Source organism: Homo sapiens, chromosome 17, assembly GCF_000001405.40.
Source record: "Homo sapiens chromosome 17, GRCh38.p14 Primary Assembly".
Lineage (NCBI taxonomy): Eukaryota > Metazoa > Chordata > Mammalia > Primates > Hominidae > Homo > Homo sapiens.
In genome coordinates this window covers 39,171,222-39,198,525 of record NC_000017.11, presented here as the reverse complement: position 1 = coordinate 39,198,525, position 27,304 = coordinate 39,171,222, and the positions used below count along the sequence as shown (strand labels likewise).

Genomic DNA, 27,304 nt, shown 5'->3' with positions numbered 1-27,304 from the left:
CAAATTGGCGCCAGAGTCTATTGCCCAGAATCTCCTATTCCTCTTCTCTCCACCAGTCATGGTGGGTGGCATCCAGATCTTGGATGTTTCTCCCTAAATCAGGGGTAAAGGTGGCGCAATTCTAGGTCAAAGGTCATGAGATCTGATTTTACCAGCTTCTCCTCTCTCAGCTCCATATTTCTTCCTCTTTTCTCATCCAAGAGCAGGGACCTCACCCAGCCCCATTCCTGGCCTTTTGGAAGAACAGGGGTTGGGGGGGCGGTGTATCCTAGTGACTGATTAGGGCAGAACTCCTGGACCCCTGGGATTTATTTTGCTGTCTCTATTGGACACCCTCCCCATCTCAGCCTCAGCCTCCCACCGGCAGCCCCAGAGCCATGTTGGAGGGAGAGGCTTTTCTGTTTGGTTTGAGGCAGCCTGGGCCCCACACTGGGGAGAAAGGAGTTAAAGCCAGGTCCCAGGATCACCGGGACCGGGAAGTTCCGGTGGTCCAAACAGGAGTGGGTTGGGGGGACCCGCAGGAAGAGAGGTTTGGGACAAAAGGGGGGTGGTGCCAGCCATGCCAATCCCCATCAGCGCTCGGCATCCACTGGTAGACCGCCCCCCCACCCCTCCCCCAAGTTCCACGCCTAGTTTCTGCCTTCCCGCCCCAGCGGGCCGCCTGCACCCCACGGCCAGTCAGAGGCCCACCTGCGGCCACCTAGAGCCGAGAGGGGCTTGCCTCCCTGCTGCCGCACGCCCATTGTGTGCGCCGAGCCGGCGGAGGGGCTGCGAGGGGCGGGGCCGGGCGGGCGGAGGGAGGGAGCGAGGGAGGGGCGCGGGGAGATGCTGAGCCTACGGGGGAGGCGGCGGCGGCAGTGGAGAGAGCGGGAGGAGCGAGGGAAGGCAGGAAGGAGGCAGCCGAAGGCCGAGCTGGGTGGCTGGACCGGGTGCTGGCTGCGCCGCGCTGCTTTCGGCTCCCACGGCCTCTCCCATGCGCTGAGGGAGCCCGGCTGGGCCGGGCCGGCGGCGGGAGGGGAGGCTCCTCTCCATGGTCCAGAAGACCAGCATGTCCCGGGGCCCTTACCCACCCTCCCAGGAGATCCCCATGGAGGTCTTCGACCCCAGCCCGCAGGTGAGGCGTGGTGGCCCGGCCCAACGGGAGGGGGTCGCTCCCGCGGACCGTGTTAAGGTCGGCTCGAGAGGCGCGGGAGAGGAAGGGGTTATATGCCGGGCGCGGAGGAGAGAGGGATGCCTGCGCGCCCCCCATCCTTGCAGGTTGTGATTGATGGGCGCTGGGCCTGGGGCTGGGTGGCGATGCTGCGGAGCGGGGAGGGGGCGGGTGGGCTGCCTGTCACCCTCGCCTCCTTATCTCCCCCGCGTCAAGGTTCCTGCCGCTTGGGCACCAGCTTCAGTGGGCTGAGCGTGGGGGTGCTGGTGGAGGGGGATCTGGGCCTTGAGAAGGGGAGGTTGAAAGAGGCTAGAAAGCGAGCCAGGCAAGGGGGGCGACGCAGAGCACGCTCGGGGGCGCCAGGCGGGTGTGGGTGGGGCGGGGGTGGCACGAGGAGGTGGCCGAGGCGATGGTCAGAGGGCGGTGCCAAATGCCAACAGGCCTTCAAAGCCGCAGACACTGGTTCTCGAGGGTGGGGAAAGAGCCAACCCCGGTCGAGGTCCCCTCCCAGCCACCTGGGCTCCATCTCTATGTCGGACCTGCTCCCCTCCCCCCACACCCACGTTGACTTACCCCACCCCCACCCCCGCCCCAAAAACGCCTCCAAAGTTTGGAAAGTTGGATGGATGCCAACTCATAGGAGGGGGGGAAGCTGTTTTACCTGGGGGAGGGGTCTACTTCTCCATCCCCACCCGCACACTTTTCCTACACCCCTGGTTACTCCCAGGAAGTGGCATTCTTGGGCGCGGTGGGTTCTCATGGGGTGACCAGCAGGCTCTGGGATGGTCGCGCCAGGGGATTTCTTTGGGAGTGTCCTTCTCCAAGGATAGCATTAACTCTTCTGTTACTGTGGCCACCAGCTGTAACCACCATGATAATGTGACTGATGGGTATGTAGAGGGGTCAAGTCAGACCTAAAAATACCTTCCTCCACCCCAGGCCCCTTTGAGCCTGGGAGGCAGCTGACTGGGGCCTTCCTTTCAGCTGTCCCCTGTCCCTCTGAGTGCCACTCCCTTTGCCCAGCCTGGCAGTGGTGGGGGAGGGTGGTGTCTGGGATTCACTGGGTGATCCTCCTAGGTTTGTAGGGAGCATCACAACTTGAGTTGGGGTATATGTCTGGTTTGAGAGAAGGGCGGGGAGGGGAGGATCTTGGAAAGGTCCCCAGGGGCCCTCCTCTCCCATTTTCCATCCTCTTTCTTGTACCCTGATCCCAGCAGCCAAAGCCCCCAGTCTGGTCATGGCCCCTCCAGGTTCTTTGGCCAAAGAAAGTCTAGGATGGAGACCAAGGGCGGGGACTTGGAAGTCTGAGCCCTCACTCACTCTCCCCATTCTGAACTGGGCTGAGGCCAAGTGTGTGTGGGTACAAGCTGGGGAGGGCCAGAAGCAGCTCTTCTTACAAGAGGACTGGAAATACCTGACGCCCTTAACCTGAACGTGTGGCTTCCTGAATGGTCAGGCGGTATTTCCTCCACCCGGTCTCTGAGACTGAGCCAGCTTACCCCCTAGAGATCTGTGGGGCTGTGTCCTAGGCTCATGTGGTGCGGGGCCGAGGGACATTTAGATTGACGTAGCCTGATGGGTACCATGGGCATGGGGCATGGGCAGTGGCAGCTGGGGGCCACAGGGTAGAAGCTTGATCCCTCTTGCCCCCTTGGGGAGGATTGTAGCTACTGTGATTGTGAGAGAGGGAGCTGAGAAAAAGTCCTGTCTGGGCAAGGGATGAGAGTGGGGAGCAAAATTTGCCCCCATGGTGCCAGGGATCAGGCTGGATGTTTACTCTCCAAATACAGTTCCATGCCCCTACTCCCTCCCCAGAAATCTGGCTCTGAGTCTCCAAGAGAGCTGTCATCCCCTCCCTACTCTGTGAATAGCGAAGGGAAGAGTTGGGCACAGGGGAGAAGCCAGGCTGGGCCCTGGGTTGGCAGTTCCTCCTCTCTGGGGGCCACCAACACAAACAGCCCTGCTCTGCTCCTGCGGAGGGGGAGTGGGGGTGACTTTCCCGCTCTCCCCACCCAACACCCAGCACTGCCGGCTGCCTCTCCCTTCCTCGGAGGCCTCTGCAGCCTGCCCAGCATCTTAATTAGCTCTGCTGCCTAATGAGCCTCCAGCTTCTCCGCGCCTCCCCCCTTCCCAGCCTCTCTGGCTTGGTTTGGTGGTTTCCGTGTGGGTCTTCTGGGGCTCTCTTGCACTGGTCCCCACTCCTGGCTGTGCTCTGGGCCCTCTCCGTGAGGATGGGAGACCCTCCCTCCCCTTGGGTCGTACCACCTCAGGAGGAATGTGCAGGGGGGTGGAGGTGGGGCTGGGAGTGCTGTTCCCAAGCTTGGCTGTAGCTCTGGGGCTGGCAAGATGAGGGTTGGGAAAGGGCCCTTCTGATTCTACTCTTGTTCCTTTCCTGGCCTCTTCAGGGCAAATACAGCAAGAGGAAAGGGCGATTCAAACGGTCAGATGGGAGCACGTCCTCGGATACCACATCCAACAGCTTTGTCCGCCAGGTAATGGGGAGGCTGGGCGGAGAGGAGGGAGGTGGCTGGTTGGTGGAGACCAGCATTGGTGAGCCAGGTCTGCGGTATTGTCCAGGCACCCTTCCCTGTGCCATTTGTCACCTGCCTGGAGCCACCCCATCACCCTGACACCCCATGACCTCTTCTGGATGTGCTGTCAGCGGCACCCACTCGCTCAGCCCCCGCCCCTGCCCGGCCCCTCCCCCAGCACCAGGCACCCTCCCCTGCTGCCTGCTGGCCTGCGTCATCTCATTCAGGGACAGCCTGGCCTGCCTCCCTCCAGCTTGCTTCGGGCTGTCACCCACTCCCCCTGCCGGCTGTCTGCTTCCATGTCCTCCCCCAGAATCTGTGACAGGGTTGGGTGGAGGCAGGTCCTAGGAAAAGCAGAGCAAGGATGTTTGGGTCCCTGTAGTCCTGGTGAGGTCCTGGCCAGGGAAACACGCTCCTCACCTCGAGACATGACTGTCTAAGAAGCACAGAGAAAGGGTGATGGTGACGGGGGTGGGGGTGGTTGAGGCATGAGGCTGTTGATTTTATAATAGAGAAGATGATAGCCCAGCACCCCTGCCTGAAAGGGTGTAACTGAGAATAGCTTTCTGGGGTCTTCTGTGCTCAGTCAGTAAGCGGCTGCTCTCATCTGTCAACCCTGGGCCATCTTAGGCTCAGGGTGAGGGACTGAGAGAGGCATGTGGTTGCTATGACTACTTAGCATCTCACCAAAGCCTGGTACCCAAAAAAGGCGAGAGGGGCTTGGGATTAGACAAGGAAAAGGCGTGTATTGAAGAGGAAATGGGCAGGGCATTTGAGGGCAGAAGACAGCACAGAGGAGGGGTCCTCTGGAGATGAGCCCCTCCCTTCCACCTTGGGCCAGGAGCGAGGGTGATGCCAGGCAGATCCACCACTAATTAGAGTGAGGCCCTTCTTTCCGTTTCTTCTGTCTCTACAGCACTTGGCACATGTGAGCCTCAGTCTGACTTGGGAGGTTCAGGAAGGGGAGGCTTCATTCTAGCCTTTTCTAAGTATAGGAACAGACAGGAAGTCCTTTCTTCAATCACCCCCTCATCCCTCCTGTTGCAGGACATGGCCAGGGCTGGGAAGAATGACGCTGTGCTTTTATTGCCCCTCTTGGCAGAAAAGGACCTTGGCTCCTTCAGTGTTTGCCAACCCAGGGAGTCAGACCCCAGCCTCCAATTCTTCCTCCTTTTAGCTCCCCAGCTCTGATCCCCGGTAGGTGGTGGGGAGTGGTGGAGGGGGGCAGTCCTTGCCACATCTCTGAGCTAAATATACCCTAGCAGTCTGCACATGTAGCAACTCTGCTTGTAACCCGAGCCCCCAAGGGAACGGGCAGTTTGGGCCACCCCCTAGGCCAGCAGGGCCAGGCACTGAGGGTGCCGGGATGGAGGCGCCCAGCCGGACCGTGGTGGTGGTGAGCTGGGGATGGAGTGGGGTGGCAGCGGGTAGAACAGCCTCTCAGGAAAGCTGACGGAGGGCAGCCTTTACTCCAGCGTGTCTCCATGCCTCCTCACTGTTTCCTGTCTTCTGCCATTTCTGATGTGTGCGTGTGTATGCGCGTACATGTGTCTGCATATGTGTGTGTATGTGTGCGCATGCCTACATGTGTGTCTGTGTGCACCTGTGTGTCTGCATATGTGTGTGTGTCTGCCCGCACATGTGCGTCTGCATGTGTGTCTGTGTGTGTGCATGTAACTGTGTGTGTATGTGTACACGTGCGCGTGCCTGCATGTGTGTTGGGGTCAGTGAGTGTGTGCGCGCGTATGCCTGCATTTGTGTTGGGGTTGGTGAGTGTGTGTGTGCACGCGCATGCCCGCGTGTGTGTTGGGGTCGGTGAGTGCCTCTCTGCTAGTCTGTCTCCCTGTCTGTTTCCCTGGCTCTTTGACTCTGCGTGCTCCCATCAGGGGGGAGAGGGGGAGCTACGCTGGTTTTCTCTCCTTCTCTCCTTCATGCCTCTTTCCCCACTTCTGTTAGTGACCCCCGCTCCACCCCAACCCTTCCTCCGCGGGTCTCCCATTTTCATTATTTGTCTGGGAAAGAGATGGGCAGCTGCACCAGCTAATGACCTGAGGCCCCTGGGGAGAGGTGGGACTTTGTTTCTGTCTTTCCCAGGTCCCCTCCATGCCAAACTTATGGACCTTCCTGGCCAAGTGACCCTTTTCTGCCCTCAGGAAAGAACCCCTACATCCCTGCAGTCCTCCTCTTTTGCCACATAACCTCCTATGCCTTGTCCAACACCACCCCTGCATAGTCACACAAATCCACACCTCTTGCCTCCTGCCCTCACATGTCCCCCAACCTCAGGGTCACAGATGTCTGGGAGCTCCCCCCCAGTACACTCACATGTGGCTGTACACACACAGTCATATGCAGCCAACTATAGAGCACACCCTCCTCCACACACTTGTACTTGCACATCCACACACACACATGAAGAAGCACGTGCATTCCCACTACCAGGTCTGTACGGGCAACATGTGTCTTACACATATGTGTGCATCCCTAAAGGAGTCCCTTGTGCTCTGGGTTGGTCATTGTGGTCAAAGCCAGCTGTCTGGCACCCAGCAGCCCTCATTTCAGGGAAAGCCCTGTCCCATATCCTGCTCTTAACTTGCCTCTTCGGTCTGTACCAGCCTGGAACTCTTGGGTTCTCTTGTGTCCTAGGAGAGCCTGAGGACTGGGGCTGTAAGTAGTGAAGTTTGATTCTGGCAGTACCAGTTAAGAGGAGCAGGGGAGGTAGGAGTCTGTCTCCCTCTACCCTTGAACAGAAGCTGGCAAAATCTGTGGTGGCCCCATCCTGCGGAGCAGGCCGTCCACGGCTGATAGTGCAGAGAGCTCAGGCCGAAGCTGGTGGCTGCAGTCCCTGGAATGGATGCCACTGGACCTCAGCTGAGTCTATCTCAGCGGGTGCTGGGGGCAGGGGAGGGAAGGAGCAGTGGGAGTAGAGACTCGTCCCTGGCATTCCTCCCTTGCCTTGTGCCCCTATCAGGTTCCCACCCCTCCCTGGGCCCCAAGCAGCTGTCCTTGGGCCTGCCTTCATCTCCTGCTTGCTGCTGTCACCCTCACTAGGGCCACACTTTCCCCAGGGGCCTGAGAAATCTCAGCTCCTGGTCCCTTCCACCTAATACCACCTTGTCTTAGCCCTTGTGGTGTCATGCTGGGCTGGCTGGGGCTCGAGGCATCCATGATGGGTGGCACCTCCATGCCTTCCCAGGCCCAGGAGCTGGGAGGGGCAGCAATGGCCCTGATCTGGCTCTCTCTATTTTCAGGGCTCAGCGGAGTCCTACACCAGCCGTCCATCAGACTCTGATGTATCTCTGGAGGAGGACCGGGAAGCCTTAAGGAAGGAAGCAGAGCGCCAGGCATTAGCGCAGCTCGAGAAGGCCAAGGTGAGAAAGATGTGGGGAGGGGCTGTGCTGGCATGATTTCCCCCAGTCCTGGGCTGTAGAGAGAGCCCAGACAGAACCAGGGCCAAGTCTTGACCCAGCCACTTCCTAGTACCCCTGAACCTTGCTCCTCTGTCCTTCACCTGCACAATGTGGGCTATAATACCTGCCTGCTTATACAGTATAATAAGTATAATAAGTGCGTGTTATTATACTGTTTCCACACATAATAAGGGCTTGATAAGTGCTAAAAATTTCTTTTTTTTGTTTTTTGAGTTGCAGTCTTGCTCTGTCACCCAGGCTGGAGTGCAGTGGCATGATCTCGGCTCACTGCAAGCTCCGCCTCCCGGGTTCACGCCATTCTCCTGCCTCAGCCTCCCAAGTAGCCGGGACTATAGGCTCTGGCTGCCACGCCCGGCTAATTTTTTGTATTTTTAGTAGAGACGGGGTTTCACCATGTTAGCCAGGATGGTCTCGATCTCCTGACCTTGTGATCCGCCCCCCTCAGCCTCCCAAAGTGCTGGGATTACAGGCGTGAGCCACCGTGCCTGACCTGGTCCTGACTCTTAATAGCTGTGTGATCTTAGGAAAGTCACATTAAAAGGAAGATAATAATACCACTTAACTTCAGAGGATTTTTTATTTTTGTGATGAATATAAATGAGAGAATATGTGTTAAGTGTGTAACATGGTACCTGGAACACTAAATGGTCATTACTGTCATTATTGTTTTTTTTAATTTAATTTTAGGCCAGGTGCTGTGGCTCACGCCTGTAATCCCAGCACTTTGGGAGGCCCGGTTGGGCGGATCACTTGAGGTCAGGAGTTCGAGACCAGCTTGGGCAATGTGGTGAAACCCCGTCTCTACTAAAAATACAAAACGTAGCTGGGTGTGGTGGTGTACGCCTGTAATCCCAATTACTCGGGAGGCTGAGGCACCAGAATCGCTTGAACTAAGGAGGCGGAGGCTGGAGTGAGCTGAGATCGCACCACTGCACTCCGGCCTGGGTGACAGAGCGAGACTCTGTCTCAAAAAACATAATAATAAATAAATTTAAATATTTATTATTTTTTATGAGACAGGGTCTCTCTCTGTCACTCAGGCTGAGTGTAGCGGCGTGATCACAGCTCACTGGAGCCTTGACCTCCCATCTCAGCCTCCCGAGTACCTGGAACTATAGAGGCATACCACCACACCTGGCTGATTTTTTATTTTTTGTAGAGATGGGATCTTGCTATGTTGCCCAGGCTGGTCTTGAACTCCTGGGTGCAAGTGATCCTCCTGCCTCGGCCTCCCAAAGTGCTAGGATTACAGGCATGGGCCACTGTGCCCAGCCCCTTTTATTTATTTATTTATTTTTGAGATGGAGTCTTGCACTGCCGCCCAGGCTGGGGTACAGTGGTGCGATCTCGGCTCACTGCAGCCTCCGCCTTCCAGGTTCAAGCGATTCTCCTTGCCTCAGCCTCCCAAGTAGCTGGGATTATAGGCGCCCGCCACCATGCCCGGCTAATTTTTTTTTGTATTTTTAGTAGAGATGGGGTTTCACCATGTTGGCCAGGCTGGTCTCAGAACTCCTGACCTGGTGATCTGCCTGCCTCGGCCTCCCAAAGTGCTAGGATTACAGGCGTAAGCCACTGTGCCCAGCTGCCCCTTTTATTTTTTAAAAACCGACAGGGCTGGCTGGGTGCGGTGGCTCACGCCTGTAATCCCGGCACTTTGGGAGGCTGAGGTGGGTGGATCACCTGAGGTCGGGCATTTGAGACCAGCCTGACCAACATGGTGAAACCCCATCTCTACTAAAAATACAAAACTAGCCAGGTGTGATGGCGCATGCCTGTAATCCCAGCTACTTGGGAGGCTGAGGCAGGAGAATTGCTTGAACCAAGGAGGCAGAGGTTGCAGTGAGCCAAGATTGCGCCATTGCACTCCACCATGGGCAACAAGAGCGAAACTCCATCTCAAAACAAAACAAAACAAAACAGACAGGATCTCCCTATATTGCTCAGGCTGGTCTCAGACTCCTTCCCTCAAGCCAGTATTGGGATTACAGGTGTGAGCCACTGTGCCTGGCTGCTATTATTATTATTATTATTATTTTATTTTATTTTATTTTGAGACGGAGTCTTGCTCCATCACCCAAGCTGGAGTGCAATGGCACGATCTTGGCTTGCTGCAACCTCTGCCTCCTAGATTCAAGTGATTCTCCTGCCTCAGCCTCCTGAGTAGCTGGGATTACAGGTGCGTGCCACCACGCCCAGCTAATTTTTATATTTTTAGTAGAGACGGGGTTTCACCATGTTAGCCAGGCTGGTCTCGAACTCCTGACTTCATGATCCACCCACCTTAGCCTTTCAAAGTGCTGGGATTACAGGCATGAGCCATTGCGCCCGGCCTATAACTATTATTTAATTAATTTATTTTGTTTTGTTTTTGAGACGGAGTTTCGCTCTTGTTGCCCGGGCTGGAGTGCAGTGGCACCATCTCAGCTCACTGCAACCTCCACCTCCCAGATTCAAGTGTTTCTCCTGCCTCAGCCTCCCAAGTAGCCAAGATTACAGGCATGTGCCACCACACCATGCTAATTTTGTATTTTTAGTAGAGACAGAGTTTCACCATGTTAGTCATGGCTGGTCTCGAACTTTTGACCTCAAGTGATCCACCTGCCTTGCCCTCCCAAAGTGCTGGGATTACAGCAGTGAGCCACCGTGCCCGGCCTGCTATTATTATTATTTTTTCTGGGTATCATTGTGGGCTTCCCCACCCCCAACCCTTTTCATTCCTGAGTGCCCCGCCTCTACCCTGAGAGGGCTGAATTCCACATTTTGCTTTCTTGTTTTTTATTGTAAAAGTTAATATACATGGAGAAAACCACACAAGCCAATTCAGTATACATTTTTTTTTTTTGACGGAGTCTCACTCTGTCATCCATGCTGGAGTATAGTGGCATGATCTCGGCTCACTGCAACTCTGCTGCCCTGGTTGAAGTAATTCTCCTGCCTCAGCCTTCCAAGTAACTGGGATTACAGGCATCTGCCACTGCGCCCAGCTAATTTTTGTATTTTTAGTAGCGACAGGGTTTCACCATCTTGGCTAGGCTGGTCTTGAACTCCTGACCTCATGAATCCACCTGCCTCTGCCTCCCAAAATGCTGGGATTACAGGCGTGAGCCACCACGCCCAGACTTTTTTTTTTTTAGACAGAGTCTTGCTCCGTCATCCAGGCTGGAGTGCAGTGGTGCCATCTTGGCTCACTGCAACTTCTGCCTCCTGAATTCAAATGATTCTCATGCCTCAGCCCCCTGAGTAGCTGGGATTACAGGTGTGTGCCACCATGCCCAGCTAATTTTTTTGTATTTTTAGTAGAGGCAGAGTTTCACCATGTTGGCCAGGCTGGTCTCAAACGATCCACCTGCCTTGGCCTCCCAAAGTGTCAGTATACATTTTGTTGTTGTTGTTGTTGTTTTGAAATGGAGTCTTGCCCTGTTGCCCAGGCTTGAGTGCAGTGACACAATCTTGGCTCACTGCAACCTCCACCTTCCAGGTTCAAGCAACTCTCCTGCCTCAGCCTCCTGAGTAGCTGGGATTATAGGCACCCACCACCACGCCTGGCTAATTTTGTATTTTTAGTAGAGACGGGGTTTCACCATGTTGTTCAGGCTGGTCTCGGACTCCTGACCTCAGATGATCCACGTACCTTGGCCTCCCAACGTGCTGGAAATACAGGTGTGAGCCACCACACCCTGCCCATGTCCATACACATTTCAAGGAACTATTATAAAGTAAACATCCAAGTAACCACCACTACTGTCAGGAAGTTGTACATTACATTGTGGTTTGCCCTCTAGTTGCCATCCTCCCCTGTGTGCCTCCTCTAGACCAAGCCAGTGGCATTTGCTGTGCGGACAAATGTTGGCTACAATCCGTCTCCAGGGGATGAGGTGCCTGTGCAGGGAGTGGCCATCACCTTCGAGCCCAAAGACTTCCTGCACATCAAGGAGGTGGGTATCTGGAGGGAGGGCAGGGAAGTGGGTGCCAGGAGACAGGCAGCCAGAGTGCTAGTGGACAAAAGGCTTCTGAGCCAAGCAGAGCCAGGCTGAATCTGCTGTGTGACCTTAGACAAATCTCTCCACCTCTCTGAGCCTCTTAATTTTCTACTGGAAAAATGAGGTGGTAATGCTTAGGTCAGAAGGTTGTTGGGAGGGTTTGTTAGGGGGCCTGAACTGGCATGGCGGTGTGCCAGGGACATGTAGGTATCCGCATTTACTCCAGCGGCCTTTGTAGAGTAGGGTGGGCACATGGGGAGAAGGACTCTCAGAATTGCATTGGGCCGGTGGCAGGGTGGTCCATGGCCAGAAAGCATGCTGGTCCTGGAGTTGTCCTGAGAATTGGCAGCTCCACTCAGAGGCTGGAGCCAGGGCTGGGGATTTTTGAGGGTGCCACCCCTGGGCTGGGAGGTGAGTCTGGGCGTTTCCCCTAGAGAGTGACTGCTAGCTTGCCCCTGCAGTTTCCCTCTTGCTCTTTCCACCCACCTGCCATATTCTTTGCAGAAATACAATAATGACTGGTGGATCGGGCGGCTGGTGAAGGAGGGCTGTGAGGTTGGCTTCATTCCCAGCCCCGTCAAACTGGACAGCCTTCGCCTGCTGCAGGAACAGAAGCTGCGCCAGAACCGCCTCGGCTCCAGGTGTCTGGGTGGGGCAGGGGAAGGGGATGCTGCCAACCCCAGGAGAGGCCATACAGCCTGGACTAGGCCTCAATGGTTGTCCCTGGCCCTGAGGGCACAGAGCTGCCTGTGGCATCACCAGTGGGGCTGGAGCACCTCCGGGGGTGCCGCATGTGAGAGGATGAGAGCCCCCCACGCCCACCTCTTTGCTCACAAGCTCGGTTTGCCTCTGCCCACACAGCAAATCAGGCGATAACTCCAGTTCCAGTCTGGGAGATGTGGTGACTGGCACCCGCCGCCCCACACCCCCTGCCAGTGGTAAGAGCCATCGCCATGCAGGGGTTTGGGAAGAAGCTCCTGGGTGGGGTGGTCTCCCCACTCCCTGAATCCTCCTTTCCCTGCAGTAGGAAACACCCCAATCCTGAGTCCCCCAAGCACATGCAGTGGTTCCCCCTCCATGAAGAGTAGGCTACCCCTCAAGCTGGGCCTGTCATGTCTCTCCTCTCCCTTTTCTTTGGTAGCTCCATCTCTCTGCCTGATTCCCCTGCCCTGCCCCCATTCATTTCTCCCAGCCCTGTTCCATTCACCTCTTCTTCTTTCTTTTTTCCCCATCCCCATCCCTGCGTTCTGTACTTGTGTCTCCACGTTCATCTCACTCCTTCTCCCCACCTCGCCTCCCTCCTCCCTCTCTCCTGACTCTCCGGTCCAGGTAATGAAATGACTAACTTAGCCTTTGAACTAGACCCCCTAGAGTTAGAGGAGGAAGAGGCTGAGCTTGGTGAGCAGAGTGGCTCTGCCAAGACTAGTGTTAGCAGTGTCACCACCCCGCCACCCCATGGCAAACGCATCCCCTTCTTTAAGAAGGTAATTCTCGCTGTGTTCTTGCAAGAGGTGGGGGAGTCAGGGCCAGCACTTTGGTGGAGGGAAGGGGGCTGTAATGGATTCAGATGTGGTACCAACCTGTTCTGTGGGCATCAGGGCTTCCTGCTGAGGTGGAGGGAAGGGTAGCATGGGCACATCCCCCTCCACACACAACTCCACCCTGGCCCGATCTCCAGGAAGGAGATCTTGCCCTTGGAAGGTTGCCCCCACACCTGGGGCAGCAGGGTTTGGTGGTCATGAACCCTGACCTCTCCCCTCACTCCCAGGGGCCTGCTCTGGTGTTGGTGTCTACCTTGGCATGTGAAGCAGGACATGGGATGGCATTCCTTCTTTGCCCTTTTTTGACTCTCTGGGTGGGCACATAGTGGGGGGGGGCTGCTGGCTGCAAAGCAAGACAGTTAAGGGAACCCCTAAAATGGGCATGTTGGCATGCACTGGGGGCAGGAGATGGGCAACAAGATAGGGGCTGTCACCCTCTCCAGCTCTTTTCCAAGACCCAGAAGAGGGTAGGATATGTCTGAATATTCCCACATCCACTGGACTGACTGTCAGTCCTGCTCCCAGCCCTGATCCAGGGCCACCTCTGGCTCCCCCTTGGCGTGGGGTCCCGTTCCCCGTCTCTGGCTCTGTCTGTCACTAACACGCATGCCCTGTTATCTCTCCTCGTCTGCCCGGCTCTCCCTCCCTCTCTTGTCCTGGCTCCTGCCTTGCCCTCTGCCCCTGCCTGGGTCCCCTTCCCTCTCTCCTCCCCCTTCCCTCTCTTGGCAATCTCTGGACCCAGCCAAACAGAAGCAGAAGTCGGTGAGTATCACAGCTTTCTGTGTCCTCCTCCCCACTCCCTGGGATGAGCTAGGGGGACCTTCTAACACCCATTCCCACATCTGTCCCCCATTTCCCCCACCCTTCCTGGTTCTCCCTGGCCATCCCTCCCCACCCCCACCCTGATCCCTACATCTGGGCTCTGGGACCAGGGTGGGGGAAGGCTGCATGGGGGAGCCTGGAGTCTGGGGGAGAGGATCTAATGTCATCTCCACTCTGGGGTTTCCCCTCCCTGCTTCCCCCCCCAGACAGAGCATGTGCCCCCCTATGACGTGGTGCCTTCCATGAGGCCCATCATCCTGGTGGGACCGTCGCTCAAGGGCTACGAGGTAGGACTTCCTAGAGGGGAGTGGATGCAGAGGGGCCTTAGAAAGATCTTCAGACCCCAGAGAGATCCCCTAGAAGGGCCCGATCCCAAGGCATCCTCCCAGGAGGGCTACAGACTTTCAGAGACAACCCCCAGGGGGCCCAATCCACAGAAAGACCCACTCAGAGGAGCCCCGTCCCCCAAAGAAACCCTCAGAAGAGCCCTCCCAGAGATGCCACTTACAGGGACCTTGGAACCAGAGACCCCAGTGGAGGCCCCTCAGACTCAGACCCCCGCCCGCCGTAAAGGCCTGTCCAGAAGAAAGTGGAACGTGAGGGTACAAATACCCAGCGACTCAGAGTCTGAGCGGCTTTAAATGCCTGCCTTCTCCTCCCTCCCTCCCCACAAACCCCCACCCCCAGGTTACAGACATGATGCAGAAAGCTTTATTTGACTTCTTGAAGCATCGGTTTGATGGCAGGTAAGATCCTGGGAGCTGCTCCTCGCACCTGCCGTTGCTCTCTGCTGCTGGGGATGGGCAGGATGCCTCGAATCACAATCCTGGGACTCGGACTGAGGAACAGAAGGCGGGCCTGGAACTGGGGAGTGGGCAGGGCATTCCAGCCCACCCTGACCCCTGACTCCCCTCTTGCCCCATTCCCCAGGATCTCCATCACTCGTGTGACGGCAGATATTTCCCTGGCTAAGCGCTCAGTTCTCAACAACCCCAGCAAACACATCATCATTGAGCGCTCCAACACACGCTCCAGCCTGGGTGAGCCTACTCCTGCTGTCTTCACTCCCCCTTTCTGGGCCGGATGTGGGAGGGGTGGGAGGTGTGGGAGGTAGTGGGCAGGGCCATCTCCAGAAGTGTTCCCTCCACCTGCTGTTCCTGGGAGGCCACCTGACATTCCCCCATCCACATGACTCCATGCCCCCAGCTGAGGTGCAGAGTGAAATCGAGCGAATCTTCGAGCTGGCCCGGACCCTTCAGTTGGTCGCTCTGGATGCTGACACCATCAATCACCCAGCCCAGCTGTCCAAGACCTCGCTGGCCCCCATCATTGTTTACATCAAGATCACCTCTCCCAAGGTGGGTGCAGGAGCCTGACCCTGGCCAGGACAGCGTGGTTTGAAAGGGCTGCTTGGGTTTAAATCCCAGCTCCACTGCTTACTAATTACGTGAATTAATCTGCCTGAGTCTTAGTTTCCTTCTCTGTAAAGCTCCATCGTATTGTCAAGTGTTTCAACCTCATATGAATGTATAGCACTTAGCAAATGGTCTGATACAACATGTTAGCTATTATTTACTATTATTAGGGTCATGCAGACCAGTCCCCTGTCTCCACTCTGATTGACTTCCCACCCTTGGACTGAAAGAATTCTGTGCTTTTTGTTCCAGTGCCACCCAGCTACTTGGCAGTTGGGAGGTCTTTCCTTTCTTCTTCTTCTTCTTCTTCTTCTTCTTTTTTTTAAGTCAGGATCTCGCTCTGTCACCCAGGCTGGAATGCAGTGATGCAATCATAGTTCACTGCAGCCTCTACCTCCTGGGCTAAAGCAATCCACCCACCTCGGCCTCCCACGTAGCTGGGACTACAGGTGTCCACCACCATGCCTGGCTAATATTTTTATTTTTTAGAGATGGGATTAGCTGTGTTGCCCAGGCTGCTTTCCTCTCTTGATATCAGCCCTTTTTGCTGCAGTGTCCTCATTTGGACTTTGATAGAGGGGAAATCGGTAGGAAGGCCGCCTTACTTTTTCCTTGTATTGCAGCACCATTAACTTTCCCTTCTAGATGCCAGTGGGGATCTGAGAAACACGGAGGAAGAGTTGAGGTGGAGGATTTGAAGTTAGAAGACAGCATGGGCTTGAAATTCAAGCTCTGATTGGTTTACGTATTGATTTATTCTTATTGTTGGTTGTTTTTTATTGAACTTGGAATCTTGGGGGAATTATTTAGCCTCTGATTCTCTATTTCTTCACCTATAAAGTGGGGTTGTAATCCCTCTCGTGTTATTGTTGAGAGGATTGCTGTAAGGAGCCCAGTATACTCTCTGATTTATTTATTTATTTATTTATTTATTTATTTATTTATTTATTTATTTTAGACAGAGTCTTGCTCTGTCACCAGGCTGGAGTGCAGTGGCGCGATCTTAGCTCACTGCAACCTCCACCTCCCAGGTTCAAGCGATTCTCCTGCCTCAGCCTCCTGAGTGGCTGGGACTACAGGAGTGTACCACCACGGCCCGGCTAATTTTTTGTATTTTTTAGTAGAGACAGGGTTTCACCATGTTGGCCAGGATGGTCTCGATCTCCTGACCTCGTGATCTGCCCACCTCGGCCTCCCAAAGTGCTGGGATTACAGGAGTGAGCTACCGCACCCAGCCTACTCTCTGATTTATGAGGGCAGCCAATAGTGGTAACCATTATCATCCCATGAGCTGGGCTCCCTGGACCAGTTACTTAACCTTTTTTTTTTTTGAGACAGCCTTGCCCTGTCACCCAGGCTGGAGTGCAGTGGTGCGATCTCACTCACTACAGCCTCCGCCTCCCAGGTTCAAGTGGTTCTTGTGCCTCAGTCTCCCGAGTAGCTGGGGTTAGGATTACGGGCACACACCACACCTGGCTTTTTTTTTTTTTCTTTTTGAGAAGGAGTCTCACTCTGTCACCCAGGCTGGAGTGTAGTGGTGCGATCTTGCTCACTGCAACCTCCGCCTCCTGGGTTCCAGTGATTCCTCTGCCTCATCCTCCTGAGTAGCTGGGACTACAGGTGCATGCCACCACACCTGGCTAATTTTTATATTTTTAGTAGAGACGGGATTTTACCATGTTGGTCAGGTTGGTCTTGAACTCCTGACCTCGTGATCCACCGGCCTCGGCCTCCCAAAGTTCTAGGATTACAGGTGTGAGCCACTGTGCCCGGCCACACCTGGCTAATTTTTGTATTTTTAGTAGAAACAGGTTTTCACCATGTTGGCCAGGCTGGTCTCAAACTCCTGACCTCAAGTGATTTCTCCTGCCTCAGCCTCCCTAAGTGCTGGGATTACAGGCGTGAGCCACCGCGCCCAGCCTACTTAACCTTTCTGAGTCCTCTGTTTCTAATGAGATAAAGGGGATGATGGGATTTAAGTACTTCCTGAGGGGAGTTGAAAGGACCAAATGAGATAATGGATGCAAAAACACTGAACTAGAAAGTAACCAATGCTTCCATTTCCCCCACTGAGGTTAAGAGGAGGGACTCTGGAACCAGGCAGCCTGGACCTTCTACTCCAGGGCTGTCACTTACTGGCTCTGTGTTCCTTTGGCAAGCGGCCAAACATCTCTATGCCTTGGTTTCCTCATCTGCAGCATAGGCATACTGGGTTTGTGAAGATTAAATAAATGGGTTAACCATGAAAAATGCTTGGTATTGGGCCAGGCACGGTGGCTCACACCTGTAATCTCAGCACCTTGGGAGCCCGAGGCCGGCGGATTGCCTGAGCTAAAGAGTTCAAGACCAGCCTGGGCAACATGATGAAACCCTGCCTCTACTAAAATTCAAAAAATTAGCTGCGCATGGTGGTGGGCACCTGTAATTCCAGCTACTCAGGAGGCTGAGGCACAAGAATTGCTTGAACCCAGGAGGCGGAGGTTGCAGTGAGCCGAGATTGCATCACTGCACTCCAGCCTGGGTGACAGAGCAAGACTCTGTCTCAAAAATAAATAAATAAATAAATAAAAATAAACGCTTGGTATCCCAGAACTATATCTGTTCCATTTTGTAAGAAGATTTTCATTTTCAAATAATTTCAGATTTACAGAAGTGTGGCAAGAATAGTATCAAAAAAATCTTATTTTTTGAATATTCTTCACCAGGATTCACTAACTTTTTAACATTTTATTGAGGTAGAATTCCCATACCATTAAGTTCAGCCATTTAAAGTCTATAAGCCAGGCTTGGTGGCTCACACCTGTAATCCCAGCACTTTGGGAGGCTGAGGCAGGTGGATCACTTGAGCTCAGGAGTTGGAGACCAGACTGGGCAACATGGCAAGACCCTGTCTCTATTAAAAAATAAAAAATAAATTAAGTGTACAGTCTAATTTTTTTCAGATTCACAAATTTTGAAACATTTACTTTTATCTTTCTTTCTCTCTTTTTTTTTTTGAGGGGGGACGAAGTCTCGCTCTGTCACCCAGGCTGGAGTGCAGTGGTACAATATTGGCTCACTGCAATCTCTGCCTCCCAGGTTCAAGTGATTCTCCTGCCTCAGCCTCCCAAGTAGCTGGTATTACAGGCGCCCACCACCACACCTGGCTAATTTTTATATTTTTAGTAGAGACAGAGTTTCACCATGTTGGCCAGGCTGGTCTCGAACTCCCGACCTCAAAAGATCCACCTGTCTCAGCCTCCCAAAGTGCTGGGATTATAGGCGTGAGCCACCATGCCTGGCCTATATTGTGTTTCTTAAGAACAACATCATTATCTTACACAACCATGATGCAATTGTAAAATTCAAGAATTATTTCTAAAATATAGTCCATATTTGGTTTTTTTTTTTTTTGAGCTAGGGTCTCACTCTGGCTGCCCAGGCTGGAGTGCAGTGATGCGATCTTGGCTGACTGCAGCCTCTGCCTCCCTAGTTCAAGCAGTTCTGCCTCAGCCTCCTGAGTATCTGGGATTACAGGCGCCTGCCACCATACCCAGTTAATTTTTGTATTTTCAGTAGAGACGGGGTTTTGCCATGTTGGCCTGGCTGGTCTCGAACTCCTGACCTCAGGTGATCCACCACCACCCCTGCCTCCCAAAGTGTAGGGATTACAGGCGTGAGCCACTGTGCCGGTATAGAATGCCCTTCATAGCAACATTTCCCCCAATCCAGGAACCAACCCAGGATCACTTGTTGCCTGTTGTTTTTTAGACAGAGTCTTGTTCTGTCGCCCAGGCTGGAGTGCAGTGGCATGATGTCAGCTCACCTCAACCTCTGCCTCCCAAGTTCAAGTGATTTTCATGCCTCAGCCTCGTGAGTAGCTGGGACTACAGGCATGTGCTACCACGCCAAGCTAATTTTTGTATTATTATTATTTTTTAATAAAGACAGGGTTTCACCATGATGGCCAGGCTGGTCTTGAACTCCTGGCCTCAGGTGATCCACCCGCCTCAGCCTCCCAAAGTACTGGGATTACAGGTGTGAGCCACTGCGCCCGGCCTAGTTTTCTTTCTTTCTTTCTTTCTTTTTTTTTTTTTTGAGACAGAGTCTCACTCTGTCGCTCAGGTTGGAGTGCAGTGGCGATCTCAGCTCACTGCAAGCTCCGCCTCCCAGGTTCACGCCGTTCTCCTGCCTCAGCCTCCCAAGTAGCTGGGTCTACAGGCACCTGCCACCATGCCCGGCTAATTTTTTTAGTAGAGACGGGGTTTCACTATGTTGGCCAGGATGGTCTTGATCTCCTGACCTCGTGATCCACCCACCTTGGCCTCCCAAAGTGCTGGGATTATAGGCATGAGCCACTGCACCCGGCCCTCTTTTTTTTTTTTTTTTTTTTTTTGAGACGGAGTCTTGCTCTGTTGTCCAAGCTGGAGTGCAGTGGCACCATCTCGGCTTACTGCAAGCTCTGCCTCCATTCTTCTGCCCCAGCCTCCTGAGTAGCTGAGACTACAGGCGCCTACCACCACATCCGGCTAATGTTTTGTATTTTTAGTAGAGATGGGGTTTCACCATGTTAGCCAGGATGGTCTCGATCTCCTGACTTCAAGATCTGCCCGCCTTGGCCTCCCAAAGTGCTGGGATTACAGGTGTGACCCACCGCACCCAGCCAGTATAGTTTTCTTTAATCTGGAAGGCTTCCTCAGCCTTTCTTGAATTTTCCAGAGACTGACATTTAGGCAGAGTACAGGACAGCTATTCTGTAGACTGTCTGTCCCTCAGTGTGCGTTTGTGTGATTGTTCCTCATGATTAGTTTCCGGTTTTGCATTATTATAATTATGGTTCTTGTTGTTGAGATGAGAATGATAATAGCAGCTATCTAACAGGATTGTTGTCAGGACTCAATTGATCATGTGAAAAGCACAGAACAATGCTGGTATGTAGCAAGTGCCCCATAAAGGAAGACTGTTGTTGTTGCCGTTGTTAATATAGAGGGTGTGGCTGGGCTCAGTGACTCACGCCTATAATCCCAGCACTTTGAGAGGCTGAGGCAAGTGGATCACTTGAGGCCAGGAGTTTCAGACCAGCCTGGGCAACATAATAAGACCCTGTTTCTACAAAAAAATTAAAAAAAATTAGTGGGGTATGATGGCACGTGCCTGTAGCCCTAGTTACTGAGGAGGCTAGGCTGGGGGCTCGCTTGAGCCCAGGGTAGAGGTGAACTATGTTCACACCACTGCACTTCAGCCTGGGTGACAGAGCGAGAACCAGTCTCTAAAATTTAAAAAAAAAAAAACAAAAAAAAAGGAGAGTGGGCGGGCCTACAAACAATGTTAGAGAAGTTGAGAAGGAGAATCACTGCCCTTCATATAGCCCCTAAGGAAGGCTGGCATAACACCAGGAGAGAGCCTGAGCTTTGCATAGGGTAGACACAGGGCTGCTGAGGTCCTTTCTGCAGAGGTGCCCAGGGCTGAGAGTTATGGAGCATTCAAGGGTCTTGACACTGGCTCTCCATGCTGATCCAACCAGGACCCGCCTCTCTGACTGGGTGCATTGCCTGAGTCCCTCTAGCTCCTCTTCCTTTTCTCTCTCCCCAAACCAGGTACTTCAAAGGCTCATCAAGTCCCGAGGAAAGTCTCAGTCCAAACACCTCAATGTCCAAATAGCGGCCTCGGAAAAGCTGGCACAGTGCCCCCCTGTGAGTGCCTAGATCCCAGGGAAGGGAATGGAGGGAGAACATTTGGGTTGTCCTGGTTTCCTCTGGCCTACATGAGAGACAGGGTGACCAGGAACACCTGGGTCAGGCCTGTGGGTGCAGACTGGTCTTCTGGGAAGAGCGCAGGTCCCGTCAGTCAAAGACTGGGTTCAAGCCCCAGAAGCACCCTTCTGCGTGGAGAGTCAAGCCCTGTCTCCCAGCCTTGGTTGCCTTATCTCTAGAATGAGGGAGTTGGACTGAGTGCCAAAACTTCTTGCAGTTCTGCCAATCTGTAGATCTGAGAGCTCTCCTTCCCTTCTACATCCAGAGGCCTCTTTTTAACCTTGTCCTTCAATCCCTTGACTCTACCCACTGCACCCAGGCCACACCCTCAACCCCCTTGGCCATGCCCCACTCATCCCAGCCCTGCCCCCTAACCCCGCCTTCACAGGAAATGTTTGACATCATCCTGGATGAGAACCAATTGGAGGATGCCTGCGAGCATCTGGCGGAGTACTTGGAAGCCTATTGGAAGGCCACACACCCGCCCAGCAGCACGCCACCCAATCCGCTGCTGAACCGCACCATGGCTACCGCAGCCCTGGCTGCCAGCCCTGCCCCTGTCTCCAACCTCCAGGTACAGGTGCTCACCTCGCTCAGGAGAAACCTCGGCTTCTGGGGCGGGCTGGAGTCCTCACAGCGGGGCAGTGTGGTGCCCCAGGAGCAGGAACATGCCATGTAGTGGGCGCCCTGCCCGTCTTCCCTCCTGCTCTGGGGTCGGAACTGGAGTGCAGGGAACATGGAGGAGGAAGGGAAGAGCTTTATTTTGTAAAAAAATAAGATGAGCGGCAGCTTCTGGTGTCTGTGGTTTTTGATGGGTCTGGGGCTTCTGGTGCTGTCTTCCTGGGCCTGGTGCCATAGGAGCGCATCTGCTGCCCGCTGGATATGAGGCCTGATGGGAGCGCTTTTAAGACAAGGGACTAGGAAGGACATGCGAGGAAGACTGATAAACTGATTCGCTGGACTCCACACCCTTTTTAGACCCAACAGAGCAGGGGCCTTCAGAGCCAGGGAAACCTACGTTAAACCTGGACTCTCCCTCCCTGGAGCCCTGACTCCACAAGGCCCCTCAAGAGGGACCAAGAATGTGGCATCTTCTATGACTTGATGCTGAACCTTCCACCATTCTCCCAGTTAAAGTCCAGGAAAGGACCTCCCATGGGAGACCCATCCTGCCTTGCCCTCCTCCCATGGGAGCCACAGCCCACCTCTTGATGGCACACCATTAAGTATAAGGTCTTAAGAGCCAGAAGAAACCCATGAAATCATTCTAGACTGTAGCTTTCAAATTTGTTTTCAGCAACAGAGCCCATTTGTTCAATGAATCTTACGTGGAAGCTGAGGATGTTAGATAATGCATCCTTGCTCTGCCCTGAGGGAGCCAGGGGAATGGCCTCCCCTCCACCTCCATGGGGACCCCTGAAGCACTTCTGTGCCCTTCCCACCCAATGCCACCCCAGATCTCTAGGTAACAGTTTGGAAACTGCTACTCAGGTCTAACCCCCATCACATTACAACCAAGAAATGAGGCCACAGAGAGGGGAACTGTTTGCTTAGGGTCACACAGCTTGACATGGCAGGGGAGGGACTGGAACCCCTCTTGTGCCCCACCTCCACGTGACATTTGATGATAAGGACACTGGGCCACCTCTTCATCTTCAGTAGGAGGGGGAGACCCAGCAGCCTTCCCCAGCTTGCTGCTTTGAGTGCTTGTTGGGGGCAAGGGAGGAATCCCATCAGCCTTGGAGATGGTGTCATCCGACTAGGGAATGGTGGGAGAAGCATGGGGTTCTGGAAGCCTGAGATTGGGGTTTGGTGTGGGTCGAAGAAGCCAGGGTCAGCAGGTTTGAGCTGAAATCCCGTTAATATATTTGGAAAACCAAAGGCAATGACTAACCGAATCAACCGCTAATGAGTGGCAATACTGAGCTGTTAATGACAGTTAGCCCCAAGATAGCATTAATGACCTGCACTGAGGAAGCGGTGACTCATGGCTCACGGCTGTTGGCCATAGTTGCCCTGAGAGTTCATATGTCCTCACATCTGTTGAAGGTCGGGTGCCCCCTGTCCCGAGAGAGGAGCAAATGCCCTGAGGTCTGTCCTCTGGCTGGGCTCCAGAGCCGTTTGTCCCCGGGGCCCCTCCTCTAGAGCCAGCACCCTCTTCATCCAGGCCGGACCTCTTAATGCTGTCACTAACTTGCCTTGCTTTGTTGTGTTTTTCTCACCCCTGCCTGATCTGCATGGTGTGTGCTGTCCGTCTGCTAACCAGGGACCCTACCTTGCTTCCGGGGACCAGCCACTGGAACGGGCCACCGGGGAGCACGCCAGCATGCACGAGTACCCAGGGGAGCTGGGCCAGCCCCCAGGCCTTTACCCCAGCAGCCACCCACCAGGCCGGGCAGGCACGCTACGGGCACTGTCCCGCCAAGACACTTTTGATGCCGACACCCCCGGCAGCCGAAACTCTGCCTACACGGAGCTGGGAGACTCATGTGTGGACATGGAGACTGACCCCTCAGAGGGGCCAGGGCTTGGAGACCCTGCAGGGGGCGGCACGCCCCCAGCCCGACAGGGATCCTGGGAGGACGAGGAAGAAGACTATGAGGAAGAGCTGACCGACAACCGGAACCGGGGCCGGAATAAGGCCCGCTACTGCGCTGAGGGTGGGGGTCCAGTTTTGGGGCGCAACAAGAATGAGCTGGAGGGCTGGGGACGAGGCGTCTACATTCGCTGAGAGGCAGGGGCCACACGGCGGGAGGAAGGGCTCTGAGCCCAGGGGAGGGGAGGGAGCGAGGGGCTCACACCTGACATGTATTCGCCTCCAGGGGGCGCTGTCTCCCTCCTTTCAGATGCCTTTGCTCAAAGCTTGGGGTTTCTTTGGTGTTACCATCCCAGCTCCCGGGAGGCCCTTAAGCCCCAGCTGTCGGTTTTTACCTGCCTGTTGTGGATGGATGGGGGATACCCACCTTTCTGAAGTGTCCCCTTTCTCCCATCTTAAGGGGCTCTCCTCCCTCACCCTCCTAGAGAAAAGGTGCACTTCCTTAACTCTTTCTACTCGGGGCCCTAAGTGACGGTCCTAAGTGGGATGGCTCTCCTTCTCCCAAGCTGCAGTACTGGGGAAGGGCTGGGCGCTTTTCCTGGAAAGGGAGGCCACAGATTCTTTCCCATGGGGGCTCTCTTCCCCAGACCCCAGATCCAAGGTCCCTCACCCTGCCTGCCCCTTCCTCCCAGCTTCCTGGCAGCATCGTCTGGTCGGTGAAAGCCATAGCATGGACACCCCATGGGGAGCTTGTCTTGGGGAGGGTTCTGGGTGGAAGCTGGCAGGCATACAGCACCCTCTACCCTCCGTGGCCATGGCAACGTCCAGGGCCCAGAACCCTGAGGAGTGAGCGGCCGAGACGCTGCTCCCCACCCCCCACCTCCATGCCTCAGCCTTTGCCTACCCCAGGAATGAGCTTGGCCTCCAACATCCCTTGCCTGCTGCCATTAGTAGAGGGGGCCCCTCTGCATCTGAGCCCCCCATCCCTGTGCCACCTGGGTGTGGAGCCCATGGAACACTCTGGTCCGCCTCATTTTAAACCAAAAAACTGCTCCTTCACCCTCACCCTGAGGCCCCAGGGGAGAGGACCCGTGGGATGGTGCCCAGGGGTTGCCTTGGGACCTCGGATCTCCTCTGGGGGGCTTGGCTGCTGCTGTTGCTGCTCTGTATTTGCCTCTCGTGATTCTGTTTGTTACCCATGTTCACTTCCCCCAGGAGAGGCCTTGGTACCCCCTCTCCCCTGGGGCATCCCTTTGCCTTGGCATCCCTGTAGCCCAGCAACCCTGCCCCTCCCCAGCATCCCAGCTGGGCCAGAGAGAGCCGAGTGTGCCAACAAGGACTGGGGCCTGCCCGGCTGCCCGCCTCAGGGATGGGCACCTCATGCCTGTCTCGCCACCTCCTGTGCCAATGTCCCACCCTCCACCTGGGGGTGGGGTGCAGCTTCCACTTACTGATTAGAAGACACCACTGCCCTCCCTTCCCCCCTCCCTGTCTGGTGTCCTGTGCCCCCATCTGTCTGTCTATATTTGTCTGTACTCCCCTAGGAGAAGTATTTTGCCATATATAAAACCACTGTCCTGTCCTTTGTGGCTGCCTCCCAAGCCTGCTTCTTTGTCCTCGCCACATAGTCGTCAGCGTAGGCACCTGGGAGCTGCTGATATGCACGGGGAGTTGAAAGGGTGGGTGCCTGAAGATGTTGTGCCCTGAGTCATTGACTCAAAAGAAAAGATGATCCTTTGATTTTGGCCCTCTGATGTATTGTGCCCAAGCCAGGAGCTGCTTGGGCAGTCCCAGCTCCACACTGGCCCTGAGCCCCTTCACTTACCTGTCTCTCCACAAGTAGAGCCAAAGGCAATGGGAAGCTCAATGTTGCTCAGTGGGTGAGATCCAGACCCACTGGTGCAATGTCTTAAATACACATGACTGTTTTTCTGCTCTTGTGGCATCACTGTGCCCCAACACCTCAGGAGAGGGAGGGGCTGAGCTTCTGGCTCCACTAATGCCCCCCTCGTTCCTGCTAACCAGCTTTGGGGACAGGGAGGCAGACTACTTGTGGGGGCAGGTCAGAGAAAATCAGGGATTCTGCCAGTCCCAGACTGAAAGTCAGCAGGTGAGTGTACCCATTCCTCCCATCCCCAGCTGGCAGGATGTGGACTTCTGACAGTTACTGCAACCACCTGTGTCCTGCCTCACACAGTACCCTCAAACTATTTCCCCTCCCTCCTGGTTCTTTTTCTTTTTTTTTTTTTGAGATGGAGTTTTGCTCTTGTCGCCCAGGCTGAAGAGTGCAGTGGCGCGATCTCGGTTCACTGCAACCTCCGCCTCCCAGGTTCAAGTGATTCTCCTGCCTCAGCCTCCCGAGTAGCTGGGACTACAGGCACCTGCCACCACGCCTGGCCAATTTTTGTATTTTTAGTTGAGACAGGGTTTCACCATGTTGGCCAGGCTCCTGATCTCAGGTGATCCACCCACCTTGGCCTCCCAAAGTGCTGGGATTACAGGCATGAACCACTGTGCCCACCCTGGTTCTTGTTTTTTGTGCTGGTCGCCGTGGAGGACTAAAATTCCTGAGTCCGCTACCTGAGTGCTGAGGCCCAACATGAGTGAGTGTGTGTGTGTGTGTGTGTGTGTGTGTGTGTGTGTGTGTGTAGGGCAAAAGACATCCCCCAAGACCCTACAGATGAGGAGTTAGTGGATCAAAGGAAAGGGAAACTGGGCAGGCCCAGAGGTCAAGTGGCTGACCCCAGTTCCCTGGGGGAGCCAATGGCAAAGTTGATGAGAGCCTAGTCTCTGCCTCCCAGCATAGTGCATTTCCCACTGCCTTCCTACAGAATCATTCATTCCTGTGTTTCTTCCTTGAACAAATGTTTATTGAGCACCTCCTATGTACCAGGCACAAGTCTACGTAGGGGCCATAGATTATTTCAGCACAGCATAATGTGCTCTCTGCTGTGGGAGCACTGGGTACTGTGGGAGCATTGGGTACTGTGGGAACCTGAAAGAGGGGTTAGTCCCATAACCTGGGGAGGTCAGCTGAGGCTTCCTGGCAGAGGTGAGGCTTGAGTAGAATCTGGAAGCATGGTTAGCAGACAAATGGGGAAAGTGTTCAAGGCAGAGAAAGCAGGGGACATGCATGACATATTCTTGGCACCTCACCACCAAAGTGTGCTCTCAAGGTGAATTGGCAGGAGCAGGTCACAGTGGGCCTTGAGTCATGTTAAGGAGTTTGGGCTTTGTCCTGAAGCTCGTATGCAGAAATGGAAGGATTGTAAGCAATTAGCAAGATTGCTTTGTTTGCAGTTTGGCGCATAGATTGGAAGGCCTAGCTTAGAAACAGCTGTGATAATCCAGGTGCGAAAGGAGGGTTTGCCTTACGCCACAGCAGTGGGACTGGAAGGGAGGCAAAGAGGCCAGAGAGATCTAGCAGTTAGATGGCCGGGCTTGGTGGCTTATGCCTGTAATCCCAGCACTTTGGGAGGCTAAGGGGACAGGAATGCTTGAGCCCAGGAGTTTTAGACTAGTTTATGCAACATAGTGAGACCCACCTTTTTACAAAAAATTTTAAAAATTAGCTGCGTGTGTAGTCCCAGCTATTCGGGAGGCTGTGATAGGGAGGCTGAGGTATGGTGGATCTCTTGAGCCCAGGAAGTCAAGGCTGCAGTGAGCTATGATCACACCACTGCACTCCAGCCTGGATGACAGAGCGAGACCGTGTCTCAATAAAGAAATTAAATTAATAAATAAATGTTAGCATCTTGAGCTCTTGGAGAGCAAGTGGAGGCGGCTGATAAGAGAAAGGAAGGTGAGGCCGGGCACGGTGGCTCACGCCTGTAATCCCAGCACTTTGGGAGGCCGAGGTGGGTGGATCACAAGGTCAGGAGTTTGAGACCAGCCTGGCCAACATGGTGAAACCCCATCTCTACTAAAAATACAAAAATTAGCCAGGCGTGGTGGCGGCGCCTATAATCCCAGCTACTCGGGAGGTGAGGCAGGAGATTTACTTGAACCTGGGAGGCGGAGGTTGTGGTGAGCTGAGGTCACACCACTTCACTCCAGCCTGGGTAACAGAGGGAGACTCCGTCTAAAAAAAAAGAAAAAAAAAAAAAAAAGAGAGAGAAAGAGAGGTGGCCAGGTGTGGTGGCTCATGTCTGTAATCCCAGCACTTT

General features: G+C 54.4%; 1 protein-coding gene and 1 long non-coding RNA gene across 11 annotated transcripts, besides 8 other annotated features; one reads left to right on the top strand and one right to left on the bottom strand.

Moving 5' to 3' along the window:
- Positions 560-689: a silencer, noted in NCBI's record as "silent region_8451". NCBI's record gives its function as "represses an Ori minimal core promoter by ATAC-STARR-seq in GM12878 lymphoblastoid cells {active_cell/tissue: GM12878}" and the evidence as "EXISTENCE:reporter gene assay evidence [ECO:0000049][PMID:35858748]".
- Positions 700-1,099: a silencer, noted in NCBI's record as "silent region_8450". NCBI's record gives its function as "represses an Ori minimal core promoter by ATAC-STARR-seq in GM12878 lymphoblastoid cells {active_cell/tissue: GM12878}" and the evidence as "EXISTENCE:reporter gene assay evidence [ECO:0000049][PMID:35858748]".
- Positions 857-25,073, top strand: CACNB1 (calcium voltage-gated channel auxiliary subunit beta 1). Of its 9 annotated transcripts, none has more exons than NM_000723.5 (14): positions 857-1,114; positions 3,556-3,642; positions 6,933-7,052; positions 10,925-11,047; positions 11,597-11,733; positions 11,954-12,030; positions 13,376-13,395; positions 13,662-13,742; positions 14,143-14,201; positions 14,386-14,495; positions 14,662-14,813; positions 20,447-20,542; positions 20,991-21,176; positions 22,869-25,073. In NM_000723.5, the coding sequence occupies exons 1-14, from the start codon at positions 1,031-1,033 to the stop codon at positions 23,331-23,333; spliced, it is 1,797 nt and encodes a 598-aa protein (NP_000714.3). In that variant the 5' UTR covers positions 857-1,030; the 3' UTR covers positions 23,334-25,073. The 9 variants fall into 9 exon arrangements, with proteins under 9 accessions (NP_000714.3, XP_005257702.1, NP_954856.1 ...); XM_005257645.3 differs by lacking the exon at positions 13,376-13,395 and adding an exon at positions 12,422-12,576; XM_017025024.2 differs by lacking the exons at positions 857-1,114; positions 3,556-3,642; positions 13,376-13,395 and adding exons at positions 5,029-5,077; positions 6,432-6,570; positions 12,422-12,576.
- Positions 1,530-1,659: a silencer, noted in NCBI's record as "silent region_8449". NCBI's record gives its function as "represses an Ori minimal core promoter by ATAC-STARR-seq in GM12878 lymphoblastoid cells {active_cell/tissue: GM12878}" and the evidence as "EXISTENCE:reporter gene assay evidence [ECO:0000049][PMID:35858748]".
- Positions 5,173-5,673: an enhancer, noted in NCBI's record as "H3K4me1 hESC enhancer chr17:37349106-37349606 (GRCh37/hg19 assembly coordinates)". NCBI's record gives its function as "activates a minimal SCP1, AML or CMV promoter by ChIP-STARR-seq in naive H9 embryonic stem cells {active_cell/tissue: H9 hESC(naive)}" and the evidence as "EXISTENCE:reporter gene assay evidence [ECO:0000049][PMID:30033119]".
- Positions 14,054-14,554: an enhancer, noted in NCBI's record as "H3K4me1 hESC enhancer chr17:37340225-37340725 (GRCh37/hg19 assembly coordinates)". NCBI's record gives its function as "activates a minimal SCP1, AML or CMV promoter by ChIP-STARR-seq in primed H9 embryonic stem cells {active_cell/tissue: H9 hESC(primed)}" and the evidence as "EXISTENCE:reporter gene assay evidence [ECO:0000049][PMID:30033119]".
- Positions 14,153-23,897, bottom strand: CACNB1-AS1 (CACNB1 antisense RNA 1). Of its 2 annotated transcripts, none has more exons than XR_934743.3 (4): positions 23,809-23,897; positions 22,567-22,663; positions 21,191-21,519; positions 14,153-14,293 (listed from the first exon to the last, which is right to left on the bottom strand). It is a non-coding gene; the product is annotated as a CACNB1 antisense RNA 1 (long non-coding RNA). The 2 variants fall into 2 exon arrangements; XR_001753099.2 differs by having other exon boundaries at positions 21,191-21,322.
- Positions 20,739-21,238: an enhancer, noted in NCBI's record as "H3K4me1 hESC enhancer chr17:37333541-37334040 (GRCh37/hg19 assembly coordinates)". NCBI's record gives its function as "activates a minimal SCP1, AML or CMV promoter by ChIP-STARR-seq in naive H9 embryonic stem cells {active_cell/tissue: H9 hESC(naive)}" and the evidence as "EXISTENCE:reporter gene assay evidence [ECO:0000049][PMID:30033119]".
- Positions 21,239-21,740: an enhancer, noted in NCBI's record as "H3K4me1 hESC enhancer chr17:37333039-37333540 (GRCh37/hg19 assembly coordinates)". NCBI's record gives its function as "activates a minimal SCP1, AML or CMV promoter by ChIP-STARR-seq in naive H9 embryonic stem cells {active_cell/tissue: H9 hESC(naive)}" and the evidence as "EXISTENCE:reporter gene assay evidence [ECO:0000049][PMID:30033119]".
- Positions 22,517-23,118: an enhancer, noted in NCBI's record as "H3K4me1 hESC enhancer chr17:37331661-37332262 (GRCh37/hg19 assembly coordinates)". NCBI's record gives its function as "activates a minimal SCP1, AML or CMV promoter by ChIP-STARR-seq in naive H9 embryonic stem cells {active_cell/tissue: H9 hESC(naive)}" and the evidence as "EXISTENCE:reporter gene assay evidence [ECO:0000049][PMID:30033119]".

Excerpts from the sequence above, each read along its gene's own strand:
- CACNB1 (XM_005257645.3), top strand. The coding sequence starts at position 1,031 with ATGGTCCAGAAGACCAGCATGTCCCGGGGCCCTTACCCACCCTCCCAG. Across the intron at positions 14,814-20,446 it reads TCAAGATCACCTCTCCCAAG|GTACTTCAAAGGCTCATCAA; the intron begins GTGGGTGCAGGA and ends TCCCCAAACCAG. Across the intron at positions 20,543-20,990 it reads AGCTGGCACAGTGCCCCCCT|GAAATGTTTGACATCATCCT; the intron begins GTGAGTGCCTAG and ends CCGCCTTCACAG.